The sequence below is a fragment of the Homo sapiens genome, chromosome 18 (assembly GCF_000001405.40).
Source record: "Homo sapiens chromosome 18, GRCh38.p14 Primary Assembly".
NCBI lineage: Eukaryota > Metazoa > Chordata > Mammalia > Primates > Hominidae > Homo > Homo sapiens.
Window position 1 is genome coordinate 62862211 of NC_000018.10, and position 15230 is coordinate 62877440.

The 15230-nt window shown below is 40.8% G+C and overlaps 1 protein-coding gene across 1 annotated transcript in view, besides 1 other annotated feature; it reads left to right on the top strand.

The window, feature by feature from the left end:
• Positions 1–15230, top strand: part of PHLPP1 (PH domain and leucine rich repeat protein phosphatase 1) — a 264893-nt gene that overhangs the window by 146670 nt on the left and 102993 nt on the right. The gene's annotated exons all lie outside the window — the stretch shown is intronic.
• Positions 9922–10423: an enhancer, noted in NCBI's record as "H3K27ac hESC enhancer chr18:60539365-60539866 (GRCh37/hg19 assembly coordinates)". NCBI's record gives its function as "activates a minimal SCP1, AML or CMV promoter by ChIP-STARR-seq in primed H9 embryonic stem cells {active_cell/tissue: H9 hESC(primed)}" and the evidence as "EXISTENCE:reporter gene assay evidence [ECO:0000049][PMID:30033119]".

The following is a 15230-nucleotide window of genomic DNA, read 5'->3' on the forward strand; positions in this document are numbered from 1 at the left end:
CTGGGATTACAGGCGCTCCCCCAACACCTGGCTAATTTTTTTGTATTTTTAGTAGAGATGGGGTTTCACCATGTTGGCCAGTCTGGTCTCGAACTCCTGACCTGAAGTGATCCGCCCACCTTGACCTCCCAAAGTGCTGGGATTACAGGTGTGAACCACTGCGCCCAGCCAATATCACCACTGATCTTATCAGTAAAGTCTTTTAAGTATTGGGATGTTGTTAAGCTTACTGTGGAAACGAGTTTTCCAAAATTTTAATTTTTCATTAGAAATTTGAAGGCCATTATTGGCAGCACATGCCATCAGTTGTTTTCTGGTAAGCAGACTTCTCACTTCATTTTTGAGAAAATGTCTGCCAAATACCCAAGTATGAATAATAATAGTTTGTCAGTTGCTCTTTCAAGTAAAAATGGGGTTCTCTATAAATAGCGACTGGTTTGGCCCACAGCTCACATAATCAGATAAGTGTTTTCCTTGAGATGACTATCATACTTCAGTGTGCACCAGAAGTGTTTTTTGTGTACTTCCTATTTTATCACCCAGAAAATTAAAAAGACATATACTCAGGGGTTGAGATGTAATAAGAAATAACTTTCGTGTGTCATCAAGGACATTCTTAAGTAAAACTGGCATTACAATTTTTTTAAAGAATATTTTTACTGTTAATATTGCCCGGAAGAAAAGAATAGAGAAGAATATAATGACAACTGGGACAGTTTGGTGCTGCAGTGAATTAATTACGTAGGCAATCGAGACTCTAATAAGGATATTTTGCTCCAGCAATTCCTGATTGTCCCCTGTAGCTGACGTGTACTATGAAAGTTATCACTGTGGTATTCTTTTTTTTTTTTTTTTAATTGAAAGCAAGTTTATTAAGAAAGTAAAGGAATAAAGAATGGCTTACTCCATAGGCAAAGCAGCCCTAAGGGCTGCTGGTTGGCTACTTTTATGGTTCTCTCTCTCTCTCTCTCTTTTCTCTCTCTCTTCTTTTCTTTCTTCTTTTCTTTCTTTCTTTTTTTAGACACTGTTTTGCTGTCACCCAGGCTGGAGTGCAGTGGTGGCTCACAGCAACCTTCGCCTCCCGTGCTCAAGTGATCCTCCTGCCTCAGCCTCCCAAATAGCTGGGATTACAGGCATGCACCACCACCACGCACAGCTAGAATTTATATTTTTAGTAGAGATGGGGTTTCACCATGTTGCCAGGCTGGTCTTGAACTCTTGGACTCAAGTGATCCACCCACCTCGGCCTCCCAAAGTGCTGGGATTACAGGCATGAGCCACCAGGCCCAGCCTATGGTTATTTCTTGATTATATGCTAAATATAATCAGTGGGGTAGATTATTTATGAGTGTTCTGGGAAAGGGGTAGCCAAGTCCCAGAACTAAGGGTCCCTCCCCTTTTTAGACCATATAGAGTAACTTTCTGATATTGCCATGGGATTTGTAAACTCATGGTGCTGGTGGGAGTGTCTCTTAGCATGCTAATGCATTATAATCAGCATACAATGAGCCGTGAGACAGCCAGAGGTCAACTTTTCATCACCATTTTGGTTTTGGTGGCTTTTGGCCAGCTTCTTTACCGCATCCTGTTTTATCAGCAAGATCTTTGTGACCTGTATCTTGTGCTGACCTCCTATTTCATCCTGTGAGTAAGAATGCCTAACCTCCTGGGAATGCAGCCCAGTAGGGGTAAACCTTATTTTACCCAGCCCCTATTCAAGATGGAGTCACTCAGGTTCGAATGCCTCTGACATATTTCCCCCTTCCCTTTTATTTTTTTAATTTTTAAAAATTTATTTGTTTATTTATTTTAATTAATTTATTTTTTTGAGACAGAGTCTCGCTCCTGTTGCCCAGACTGGAGTGCAGTGGCACAGTCTCGGCTCACTGCAACCTCCACCTCCCGGGTTCAAGCAATTCTCCTGCCTCAGCCTCCCGAGTAGCTGGGACTATAGGCGCCCGCCACCACTCCCAGCTAATTTTTGTATTTTTAGTAGAGGTGGGGTTTCACCATGTTGGCCAGGCTGGTCTCGAACTCCTGACCTCAGGTAATCCACCCACCTCGGCCTCCCAAAGTACTGGGATTACAGACGTGAGCTACTGCACCTGGCTGCCCCTCCCTTTTATAAGGAGATCTTTAATCCTAAGGGTTGTAGAGGAATGAAGATCCATCTTCTGTAACTTCTTCAGGCTGAATAGGGACAATGATATTCCTACCTAACTATGAGGGCCTCTTGTATTCAAGGTAGAGAGGAGGTCAGTCACAAAGCGTAGGTCTGGCGAGGGCCATTGATAACAGTGAGTTCCAACAAGAGGTGCTATCTGGAAGAATAGTAAGTGTTCAATTTAAGAAAACATTCAGTAAGCTTATCTGCATTCCTACACAAAGAGTACAACAGCAATATATTCTACAACAGTAAAACAAAATAAGTAAAATTATCCCAAGTAAACTAAATAAGAAGGCTTTCTATTAACTAGGCAGTTGTTGTGGAACCAAGCTGATATGGGGTCCCTGGCTGATTCCAGTACCTGCCCAGAATTAGAATACTGATCAGGATTTTTACATTACCCATCCCTTTTATTTCTTCTGAGCAGCAGCAGAGATCACTGGTTGGTTCACAGGAATAAGTAGGATTAGTCTAAATTGCAGGAAAAAACCTCAAAAACAACTGATACTAGAATCTAATAACAGGTATACCACAGTTCTTTAAACATAATTTTTCTGTCTTCAGTCTCGCATTTTCACCAAAGACAAATGGTAGGACTGATTTGTTTGCAAAATACTTAAGCTTAGGTTTTATATGCTCTATGTATTGTTACTAATTTTGGACTGGCTGGATGCAATGGCTCAGTCCTATAATCCCAACACTTTGGGAAACTGAGGCAGGAAGCTGGCTTGAGACCAGGAGTTTGAAACCAGCCTGTCAATGTCATGAGACCCCATCTCTATAAAGAAAAATTTAAAAATTAGCTGGGTATAGTAGCACATGCTTGTAGTCTCAGCTACTGGGGAGGCTGAGGCATGAGGATTGCTTGATCCCAGTAGTTTGAGGCTGCGGTGAGCCATGATTACACTATTGCACTCCAGCCTAGGCAACAGAGGGAAAACCTGTCTCAAAAATAAAATAAAAAGTTGTACTGGCACTACAACAGTAAAGTTAATATGCTTTTTTTTTTCTTTTTGGCTGAAAGGTTATAATCATTATTATCATTTTGTTTGTTTGTTTCTGGAGCTACCCATCATGAACTATCATCAATCAGTGTGTTCTGAGGTTTGAAATTATTGGGAAGTATTTTTGCATATTTCACAGAAGTGTAGACTTTTGCACTTCTATCATAGAACATCAAAGGCTTTCTATCATACTGCCAAATCCTGATGTCTTAGAACAGAATGGTGCATTAGAATTCATCCAGACTATCAACCCAAATGCCCATCAATGATAGGCTGGATAAAGAAATGTGGTACTTAATATACCATGGAATACTATGCAGCCATAAAAAGTGAGATTATGTCCTTTTCAGGGACATGGATGGAGCTGGAGGCTGTTATCCTTAGCAAATTAAGGCAGGAACAGAAAACCAAATACTGCATGTTCTTACTTATAAGTGGGTGTCAAGTGATGAGAATACATGGACACATAGAGGGGAACAACACACAGTGGGGCCTATTGGAGGCTGGAGGGCAGGAAGAAGGAGAGGATTAGGAAAAATAACTAACAGATACTAGGCGTAGTACCTGGGTGATGAAATATATGTGCAACAAACCCTCATGACACACGTTTACCTGTGTAACAAACCTGCTCATGTAGCTTTGAACTTAAAATAAAAGTTAAAAAAAATTCATCCAACCTAATGCTCTCTTTTAAAGTTGGGGTCTATGGGGATGTTAACTGCCAAATTCAGTTTAATGGTTACCTTTTAGGGAGACGGGGGATGGGGATTAGTGAATGGTTTGAACAAGGTTTCAACTATATCTGTAACGTTTATTTCTTTAAAAAGAAAAATGAGAGGCCAAAACGTTTTTGTTTTTGTGTTTTTTGTTTTTTTTTTTTTGGAGACAGAGCCTCACTCTGTTGCCCAGCGGGAGTGCAATGGTGCGATCTTGACTTACTGCAACCTCCGCCCCCCAGGTTCAAGCGATTCTCCTGCCTCAGCCTCCTGAGTAGCTGGGATTACAGGCACCCGCCACCATGCCTGGCTAATTTTTGTAGTTTTAGTAGAGACGGGGTTTTGCCATGTTGGCCAGGCTGGTCTCAAACTCCTGACCTCAGGTAGTCCACCCATCTTGGCCTCCCAAAGTGCTGGGATTACAGGCATGAGCCACCACGCCTGGCCCAAAAGGTTAGTATTTTAAAACGCTGTATAGTTAATGCCGATGAATGTTACAGTTTTCTGCATTTTTTAAATTTGAGTATTTCATAATAATCCAAACATTTTAAACCTAAATAAAAAGAAAATTAAAATGCTCCCAAAGAGCCAGTATTTGTGGAATAAATATCCAGGTGGAGGGATATTTTGGGCATGACCCACTTCAGGAGGATTCAGATTCTGTCTTGCCTTTTAGTTCTTACAGAGTCACCGACTTGATCCCCCATGTCTGTTGATTCTGTGTGATATCTTTTGAGCTCATCCTCTTTTCTCCTCTGCTCCCATCCCTCTACTGCACACACCCTCTCTCCCCAGCTGTTATAGTAAAAGTACTTCTCAACCCTCACCTGGTCTGTTGCGCTACCTTTGAGAGCTGATTGTCTTGTTGTCATTTTCCCTCTGCAGGTTAGCCCTATTTTTGTTGCCCACTGTTTTTTACATTTCTTGGTTTTGTTTTATTTTGTATTTTTAAAAATTTAAGCCTTTTTCCTTCATCAAAGTAACACCCTATATAGATTTTTAAAGATCTTAATAAGCAGTGAAGTTTACAATAAGAAGTAGGTGCCTGAAGCTCCAGCCCATCCCTACATCCAAGTCCTGCTCCCTAGACAACCCTTTTGAATCTTTTGGCTCTTTCTGCCGTTTTCCTTTCTCTTTCTAAATATTATGTGTATACTGCTATGTTTTGATTTTTTCATTATTGGACATTATATGTTGACTCATTACTATGGAAGATAAGGATTTCATTCATTTACATTGTCTCACGCCCCATCTACCCCACACCACATGTACTAACTTCTCTTTCCCCTATCCTCTCAATATATAGGTGTTAATTTTTGGTTAAGTCAGTACTCACTGTTTACGTTATTATGAACCTGGAACTTATTCACAGCTAAGGGATTTAATTGCAGTGATTATATTTCCTTTCTTGTGCTGGCTTGATAGCAGCCTCACTTTATCACTTGTATACTTTTCTTTTTCCCCTGGTATTTGTAAGCTTTCTGACGGAATTCTTATATTCCTCTCAGCACCTTTTTCTTGGAGACTTTTTTCTTCCTGGAGCCAGGGTATGTGCTTGTTCTTCTGGCCTGCTACACAGCAAAGACAGTGTGTGGACCTTTTCCTCAGGGGGTGTCAGTTTACTAGAGAAACCCTTTGGTATTCTGCCACGGCGATGCATGCCAAGATTTAGGGTAATGAGTGGAAAAGAGAGGAAGAATCTCAAGGTTTAGTATGTGGATTTTTTTTTTTTTAGATGGAGTCTGGCTCTGTTGTCCAGGCTGGAGCGCAGTGGGGCGATCTCGGCTCACTGCAAGCTCCGCCTCCCAGATTCACGCCATTCTCCTGCCTCAGCCTCCTGAGTAGCTGGGATTACAGGCGCCCACCACCACGCCCGGCTAATTTTTCTATTTTTAGTGGAGACAAGGTTTCACTGTTTTAGCCAGGATGGTCTCGATCTTCTGACCTTGTGATCCTCCCGCGTCAGCCTCCCAAAGTGCTGGGATTACAAGCGTGAGCCACTGTGCCCGGCCATATGTGGATTTTTATTTAACTTCCCTGTTTTCAGAACAGTGTTTTCTGTTATGCTTGATAACTTTTTTCTTTTCAATTTATGAGAGATATTTTGACACTTAAGTAATTACAAAGAATTAAACAATACTACAGATTATACCGTCATCCTTTGACAATCATGTCTTATTCATTTTAACTTCCATAAGCCAGTTTCTATAGCATTGCATGTGTACCAAATCAATAAGGGATAACTTCAGACTATTTTAGATGAAAATTGTATCTTGCCTGTAACTTTGGGAGGCTAAGGTGGGTGGATGATTTGAGGTCATGTTGGCCAGCCTGGCCAACATGGTGAAACCCGTCTCTACTAAAAATACAAAAAAATAGCTAGGCGTCATGGCGCACACCTATAATCCCAGCTCCTCAGGAGGCTAAGGCAAGAGAATCGCTTGAACCTGGGAGGCAGAGGTTGCAGTGAGCTGAAATGGCGCCACTGCACTCCAGCCTGAGTGACTGAGCGAGACTCTGTCTCAAAAAAAAAAAAAAAAAAAGTTGTATCTTAAAATTGTATATGTAAACATTAACATTAAATGTACAAATTTAGTTAATACTTTGTTTTCAGTGACATTTATTTTCTCTAATTTCCCAAACCTATCATTGATCAGAAAAATAATTGCAAAGAACACATGTCTGATAAGACAGTATTACTGAGCCATGTGGTATGAAAGGAGATAAAGGAGTCTTTGATGCTACCCAGATGGACTTCTGGAATTATCTTTTTAGAGATCATATGTTCAATAATCAGCATCTCAGAAAATGAGTATATTACACTGAGACTGAAATATTTTGAATATAAAAGTAAACCAAGTCACTGGACATGAGCCATCTTTCAGCTGTTGTTTAAAATCTCAAGATGAAGAAGAATCATTGAGAATACTCAAGCTGTATGTATAACTAAATAAGAAATTAACTCAGTGGTTTTCATTCTCTTATTGCTCTATAGTTTGACAAACTATTCTCTCTTTTCCAAATTACCTCCCTGATGCTTTGACAGACTATTCTCTTTCTTCCAAATTACCTCCCTGGGTCAAATGAAGGGCCGAAGAAAGCAGTTTCCCTGTTTGTCATGCTGTGATGTAGTATGCCTGATGTCTTTGAATCAGGGACTCTGGTTCGTTTTCTTCCAGGGAATAAACTGTCCTCTGCTGGAATTGGGGAGAGGATCTGGGGTCTTACTCCTCCTTCTGTAACCTTTTGAAAATTTGTAGAAGTATAAAAAAACATAGAAAAGGCAGATATGAGTGTATAACTTGATGGATTTCCACAAAGTGAACACATCCATGTAACCAGTACACATATGAGGAAGAGAATATTGCCAGCACTCCAGAAGCTGTCCTTGTACCCTTCTCTTTATTACCCTAAACATCATCACTATCCTGACTTAGAACATCATGAAGTAGTTTCACTTGTCTTTGTACTTGATCTAAATGGAGCACACAATATGTGTTTGAGTCCAGCTTCTTTCACTGACTTTTCTTTTAAAAAAGCAAAACAAAGCATACCAAGTGACATATTATCAGCTTGTACTTTGTACTGTGTAATATAAGGCAGTGATTTTGATTTGTTTAAGGTAGAGAATTTTAAAATTTTACACTGCAATAAAAGATTTCTGTTTTGTTCTTTCTGTTGCTTTAAGCATGGGGAAGATAGGCCTAGGGGACTTCCTATGTGGTATCGGAGTAACTGGTGAAGCTGCTGTTTTGCTGCTCTTTGTAAAAAACTAGGCTTTATACCAGTTTCTCTTTCTTTTTATTTTAAGACGGGCTCTTGCTCTGTCGCCCAGGCTGGAGTGCAGTGGCACGATCTCGCCTCGGCTTACTGCAACCTCTGCCTCCCAGGTTCAAGCGATTCTTCTGCCTCAGCCTCCCGAATGGATGGGACTACAGGTGCGCGCCAACACGCCTGGCTAATTTTTGTATTTTTAGTAGAGACGGAGGGGGGTCTCACCATATTGGCCAGGCTGGTCTCGAACTCCTGACCTTGTGATCTGCCAGCCTCGGTCTCCCACAATGCTGGAATTACAGGTGTGAGCCACTGTGCCCGGCCACCAGTTTCTCTTTCATTACACACTACTATGAGGTGTTTGTCTCCCACTTCCATTGTCCAAGAAAAATTTTTATTGCTAAGATTCCAGAGTAATAAGTTGATAAGTACACACATGCATATATACCCCCCTCTTATATACATATATTTAATACCAGGAATTAAATGTATAATGTGTATTTAAGAAAGTCATGTTAGTACTGCAGAAAGCATTAACGTGGTTTTTAAATGTCCAGTCACTTAGTGTGGTGGCTTCGAAATATGCCATATATTTAGTTGCTTATTTTTATTTGTGTGTTTAGGAATTTGTGGTAATCTCTAATGTATGTTTCACAGGGAACATTTTAGATGCCAAAGGGTAATTTATTTTTACGTTTTTACCTAAGTTTCAAGGAATTAAGTTTTAGGTTACAATGTTAGGACAAATAACCAGGGAGAAACTTAAAGTACAATATAATTATAACAGGTAGGAGTTCAGAGACATTTTATCTTAAGCACATATCCCCTTAATTTTTCTTTCTACTACAAATTTTTACCTTTAACAAATGAGCTATTTTCACAGAACATTTAAATTGGTATTTGCACCAACATTCTAAATCTGGAAAGATGGCATGCTGATGTACACACACAGGTCAGCAGTTTCAGAGGGAAAACATTGTTCTTGGAACTAGTGCTGTTTGTTTTTCCTTTATTGGCATTGGAACTCTTCAAGTTAGTTTTCAAAATATAGAGGAGAGGCAAACATCAGGGTAATTTTTGGTGGTGTTGATGGTTTCTTTCCTTATTATATGTGTCACTAATAACTATAATACATTGTTTATCTCTTTTATTAATAGTGCTTCATTTATGTTAACTATATCTCTAGATGACTCAGATAGTCTTAATACTAAGATTATTGTTATTTGCAATAGAGAATGATTTTTCATAAAATATGGTAAGTTTCTTTGTAGAGTCAGTGAAGAAGACAACTTTTTGCTGATTTAAATTTAAGGAATATATTTTTTCCCCCATGTCTTAATTTTATGTTTTTAATATGATAGCAAAGCTGTATGAACTTATTCACACTAAATTATAATGGTGTTTGAACATTTTACTGCCCTGGTAAATTCAAATTTAGCTCTGTTTATTTTTGTTTTTGTTTTTGTTTTTTTTGAGATGGAATTTCACTCTTGTCACCCAGGCTGGAGTGCAGTGGTGCAATCTCGGCTCACTGCAACCTCTGCCTCCTGGGTTCAAGCAATTCTCCTGCCTCAGCCTCCCAAGTAACTGGGATTACAGGCGTGCACCACCACACCCGGGCTAATTTTTGTATTATTGTAGAGACGGAGTTTCACCATGTCGGCCAGTCTGGTCACCAACTCCTGACCTCAGGTGATCTGACTGCCTCGGCCTCCGAAAGTGCTGGGATTACAGGCGTGAGTCACCACGCCTGGCCAAATTTAGCTCTGAAAATTTTTTTTTTTTTTTTTTTTTTTACAGTCTTGGTCTGTCCCCCAGGCTGGAGTACAGTGGCGTGATCTCAGCTCACTGCAGCCTCCATCTCCCAGACTTAGGCGATTCTCCTGCCTCAGCCTCCTGAGTAGCTGGGATTACAGGCACGCGCCACCACGCCCAGCAAATTTTTGTATTTTTAGTAGAGATGGGGTTTCACCATGTTGGCCAGGCTGGTCTTGAATTCCTCACCTCAAGTGATCCGCCTGCCTCGGCCTCCCAAAGGGCTGGGGTTATAGGCATGAGCCACTGCACCTGGCCTAGCTCTTATAAATGTGCCATTTATTTATCATTTATTAAGGATGTATAGGGAGGATCATTGAAGGACCTAGAGTTTGTAAATATAGAGGAGGCAAAACTTTACCCGTACCCTCTAAAAGCCTCCACCTGGTTCTGAGAACTAAATGGACATAAGGCATTAGCAGGAGAAAAGTATACAGATTTTTACATGTGCATAGGAACCCCCATGGGAAAATGAAGACCTAAAGAAGTGACAAAATCTAAGTGCTTATGTACTAGGTTGAACCCAGAAGAAATTGTGGAAAAGTAAGTCAAATATATGGGGAGACCAAAGGAAGATGAGTTATTTTAACAAATGATGTTTGTACAGAATTGTCTTAGCCTCCATTCCGTCTCTTGTGGTCAGAATGTTGCTTTCCTCCTGCTACATAGAGGGCATCTTTCACAAGGGAGTTTTGTTTCTTGATTTCAAGAAGGGGAGGTCAGAGGCCAGATGCAGTGGCTCAGGCTTATAATCCCAGCACTTTGGGAGGCCGAGGTGGGTGAATCATTTGAGGCCAGGAGTTTGAAACCAGCCTGGCCAACATGGTGAAACCTTGTCTCAACTAAAACTACAAAAATTAGCCAGTGTGGTGGTGGGTGCCTGTAATCCGAGCTACTCCAGAGGCTGAGGCAGGAGAATCGCTTGAACCCGGGAGGTGGAGGTTGCAGTGAGCAGAGATCGCGCCACTGGACTCTAGCCTGGGGGACAGAGCGAGACTCAGTCTCAAAAAAAAAATTAGGTGGGGCGTGGTGGCTCACGCCTGTAATCCCAGCACTTTGGGAGGCTGAGGTGAGTGGATTATTTGAGGTCAGGAGTTCAAGACCAGCCTGGCCAACATGGTAAAATCCCGCCACTACTAAAAATACAAAAATTAGCCAGGTGTAGTGGCGGGTACCTGTAGTCCCAGCTACTCGGGAGGCTGAAGCAGGAGAATCACTTGAATCTGGGAGGCGGAGGTTGCAGTGAGCCGAGACTGAGCCACTGCATTCCAGCCTGGGCGACAGAGCAAAACTCTGCCTCAAAAAAAAAAAAAAAAAAAAAGAAAAGGGGAGGTCAGAGCACTCCTTTTTACACCTGCTGTTTTTCAAGTGCGTTTGGCCCAGTATAATCCTTATGCCAAAGTGGTATATTTTGGGGTAGCGTATTCTGCAGTCCTTCATAAGGGATGATAGAGAGTTCTTTTATGGTGATATCCTGCCATGTTTAGAAAAAGAAATAGGAGAATGAAGTCAAAAGTAAAGTTTGATAGTAATAATTTGTATGTGTGTGTTTCCAGTAACTTTGTCCATGGTACTTGGAAAGTTTGTCACTTAAGTTCAACTAAAATGTCTTTATCTTAGACTATTTTAATTACTAGTTACTTATACCAACCAGTTTAAGAAAGAAGCCTGTGTTCTAGTAAGTACTTGCCAAATTGGTGACAATTAAAATACACTTAAATTGTTTAATTCTATGTGTGGAAATTAGACAAATTATAAAATAACTACTTCATAAATAGAAATTTATTATAATGTTTCAATTGTTTGTTTATGGTTGGTGGTTATCGCTTCCATTAATAAAGGAAGTGGATCCAGATGGATCTTTCTGGCTTTTGCTGTTTGTAAGTAAATTGGTATAGAGAAACAAAACTAGCACAGCTAGAAGGTCCTAGCTGGTTCTAGAAATGGAATTACTTTTATAGGGCTAGCACTATAATTTCAGTAGAAGTTGGTATTTTAAATGACTTGATAAATCATGTACAGTAACTCCTCATTTAATTTCATATGTAATGAAACCAGTTTTACCATAGGTTAATTGATATAAACAAGAGTTAAGTTCTTAGGGCATGTTTCTGGTTACAACACCACGAAACTACTAAATAAAGATCAAAACGCTTTTAATATTAAGCATTGAAATAAATATGAGCTATGCATATACTTAAGAAAGATAAATAAAGGGCCGGATGCGGTGGCTCACGCTTGTAATCCCAGCACTTTGGGGGGCCAAGGCAGGTGGATCACGAGATCAGCAGTTCAAGACCAGCCTGACCAACACAGTGAAACCCCGTCTCTACTAAAAATACAAAAATTAGCTGGGCCGTGGTGGTGCATGCCTGTAATCCCAGCTACTCGTGAGGCTGAGACAGGAGAATCGCTTCAACCCGAGAGGTGGAGTTTGTGGTGAGCCGAGATCACGCCATTGCACTCCAGCCTGAGCAATCAGAACGAAACTCTGTCTCAAAAAAAAAAAAAAAAGATTAATAAAAACAAGTAAGATATAGGCCGGTTGAGGTGACTCACGCCTGTAATCCCAGCACTTTGGGAGGCCAAGGCAGGTAGATTACCTGAGGTCAGGAGTTTGCGACCAGCCTGACCAACATGTTGAAACCCTATCTCTACTAAAAATACACAAACTTAGCCGGGCATGGTGGTGCGCACCTGTAATCCCAGGTATTTGGGAGGCTGAGGCATGAGAATCGCCTGACCCTGGGAGACAGAGGTTGCAGTGAGCTGAGATTGCGCCACTGCACTCCAGCCTGGGTGACAGAGCAAGACTCCATCTCAAAAAACAAACAAAAAAGGGCAATTATTTACCAAGTTTTTCCAGTTCAGGTTGCTGGTGGCTGGAGCTTCTCCCGGCAGCTAAGAGTGCCAGACAGGAACCAGCCCTGGGTAGGACAGCATCCCATCACAGGGCGCGCACGCACGCGCGCACACACACACACACACACACACACACACACACACTCTCGCTCTCTGTCTCTCTCTGTCTCTCTCACTTGCCATGTGGACACACTGGTGAACGTAATGTGCACAGCTTTAGGATGTGGGAGGAAGTGAGTACCCCAAGAAAACCACACAGACGGAGGAGAATGGGCAAACTTCACACAGACAGCGATCCTCACCAGGAATTGATTTTTTTCCTCATTAACATTATAGCTAAATGACATTGAATGAAATGACATTGTTCGAGGACCTGCTATGTATCTGTAGAATTATTATGATTATGATTATGATTATTATATTTGAGACGGAGTCTCGCTCTGCCACTCAGGCTGGAGTACAGTGGCGCGATCTTGGCTCACTGCAACTTCCGCCTCCCGGGTTCAAGCGATTCTCATGCCTCAGCCTCCCGAGTAGCTGGGACTATAGGTGCGTGCCACCACTCCTGGCTAATTTTTTGTATTTTTAGTAGAGATGGAGTTTCACTGTGTTAGCCAGGATGGTCTCAGTCTCCTGACCTCATTATCTGCCCACCTCGGCCTCCTGAAGTGCTGGGATTACAGGCATGAGGCACCACGTCCGGCCTATAGAATTCTTAATGTGATTTTTATCATATATGATATGGAAATAGGACAAAAAAAAGTATACCACCAGCGTTTTTGTTTTTCTTAACATTCTCCTTTGGATATTGAATTTTGCCATTGTGTGTTACTATTGTCCCCTGACAGTTTTATAAAATTCTGTGTAATAGTTAAGCCTGTTTTTGTAAAGATACTGTGACTCATGGGAATAGCAGTATGGCCTTAACTTTTATCACCTTTGTTTTCTATATTTATCTTGTGTGCTCTGCTTGGCTTTGCATTCTGAGAGGGCAGGAATCAAGTCCCCCTCAGAGGTCATTACTGTTGCTAGGTGAGCATTAAATAGATACTCCATAAATGAACGCACTCTTGAGTGAATGGTGGGGGAAGTGCCTTTATTCATTCAATTTTATGTATTCTTCGCAAAAGGTATTTGTAGCAACTTCTTTGCAAAAGGTATTTGTAGCAACTTTTTTTTTTTTAATTTTGTTTTTTGAGATCAGAGTCTCACTCTATCCTCCCCCCGAGGTTGGAGTGCAGTGACACGATTTCAGCTCACTGCAACCTGTGCCTCCTGCGTTCAAGTGATTCTCCTGCCTCAGCCTCCTGAGTAGCTGGGATTACAGGTGCCCGCCACCACATCCGGCTAATTTTTGTATTTTTAGTAAAGACGGGGTTTCACCATGTTGGCCAGGCTGGTCTCGAACTCCTGACCTGAGATGATCTGCCTGCCTCAGCCTCCCAAAGTGCTGGGATTACAGGTGTGAGCCACTGTGCCCGGCCTGTAGCAACTTTTAGAAGGAAGTGAGACTGGTAATTTATCATTGTATTTCTCTTTGGTTGAAAGTATGATAAAAGACAATATGCACAGTGAGATGATTCAGAAAACCTTACGTAGAAAAATGTAAGAGAGGATTTGAAGTTGGAAAAGGAGATACTAGTTTTAAAATGGACCGTATGAAACTGGACTTCTAAAAAAAAATCTATGGTTTATTTTACCATTCTCTAAACTCACTTCACATTCTCTTGCCACTCATCTTGCAAGAATGTGCCCCAACTTTTACCTTTGACCACCTGCCGAACCCAGGCTCAACCTAGCGACTCCTACCCCACCCTTCAAAGTGTATTTGTAATGGCATTTTTTCCTTGAAGCTTTTAGTTACTTCTCAATTCCATGTGACCTTTTGCTCTTCTGAATTGTTCACTTTTTAAATATTTTTTGTACTTATCAATCCTTTTATAGTAAGCATCTAAAAATTTCTAAAATTGCCATCTACTGTAAAGTCCTTAATAAATACTCACTGAACTGAATTGTTGGTTTTCCCACCACCAAGGATAATCAAAATAATGTGATCATAAAACTTTAGGAAGAGAACATTTAGAAATGCTTTGAGCAGCGGAACCATTTCTTGTATTTAGTATTCAAGGTGACTATTTTAAGGGGACATCAGTCACTTAGAATGATTATTGATCAACCACATTGCATTATGTGGCACCTACATATCAGTTTCAAGGAACTCAGGCTTGTGTGATTGTGTCTTAGAGGCTGTGGTATAAATTGAGTAAGTTTTCACCTGAAATAAGTAAAGATGACTTGGGTCAAGAGGGGAGTGAATTCAACACTTGGAGGAAAGACTTGATTTGAGCTCTGATTAGATGTGAAATTTGGTTTAGCTGAAAATGGAGAGATGGAGGGGCAGGTCCTCTCATGCGAGAAAGAGGGAAAGAGTGAATGGAGTTGGGCGTGCAAGGATGTGGGCATAATAGAATGAAAGTATGAAGAAATGAGCGATGAGAAACTCCTAATTATGCATGGCATTTATCAAGTACCTCTCTTCTTAGAAAGCTCAAATTTCTACATTTTTGGTTCCCTTGGAGTAGAAAACAAATGACCTTATTTCCTATTCTGCTCTTCTGCTCTTTTGGGGATGTTGGCATTCCAGATGTAAAGTGATTAATGTTAATTACTTATCATTACCAAAAGCCCACATTTCCAGGTTTTATTGAAAGATTTTAGTTTTTGTTTTTATACATAATTCATGAAGACTTCTTTTAATGGAAATAGTGATAATTCATTAGCATAGTGAAATAAAGAGTGGCATGCTAAAACATTTTTGCAGTTCATTTGATCGATTTAAACAGCAGCGCTTAGAACAATTTCAGCTTCTTTGAAGACACTGCTGTATAAAAA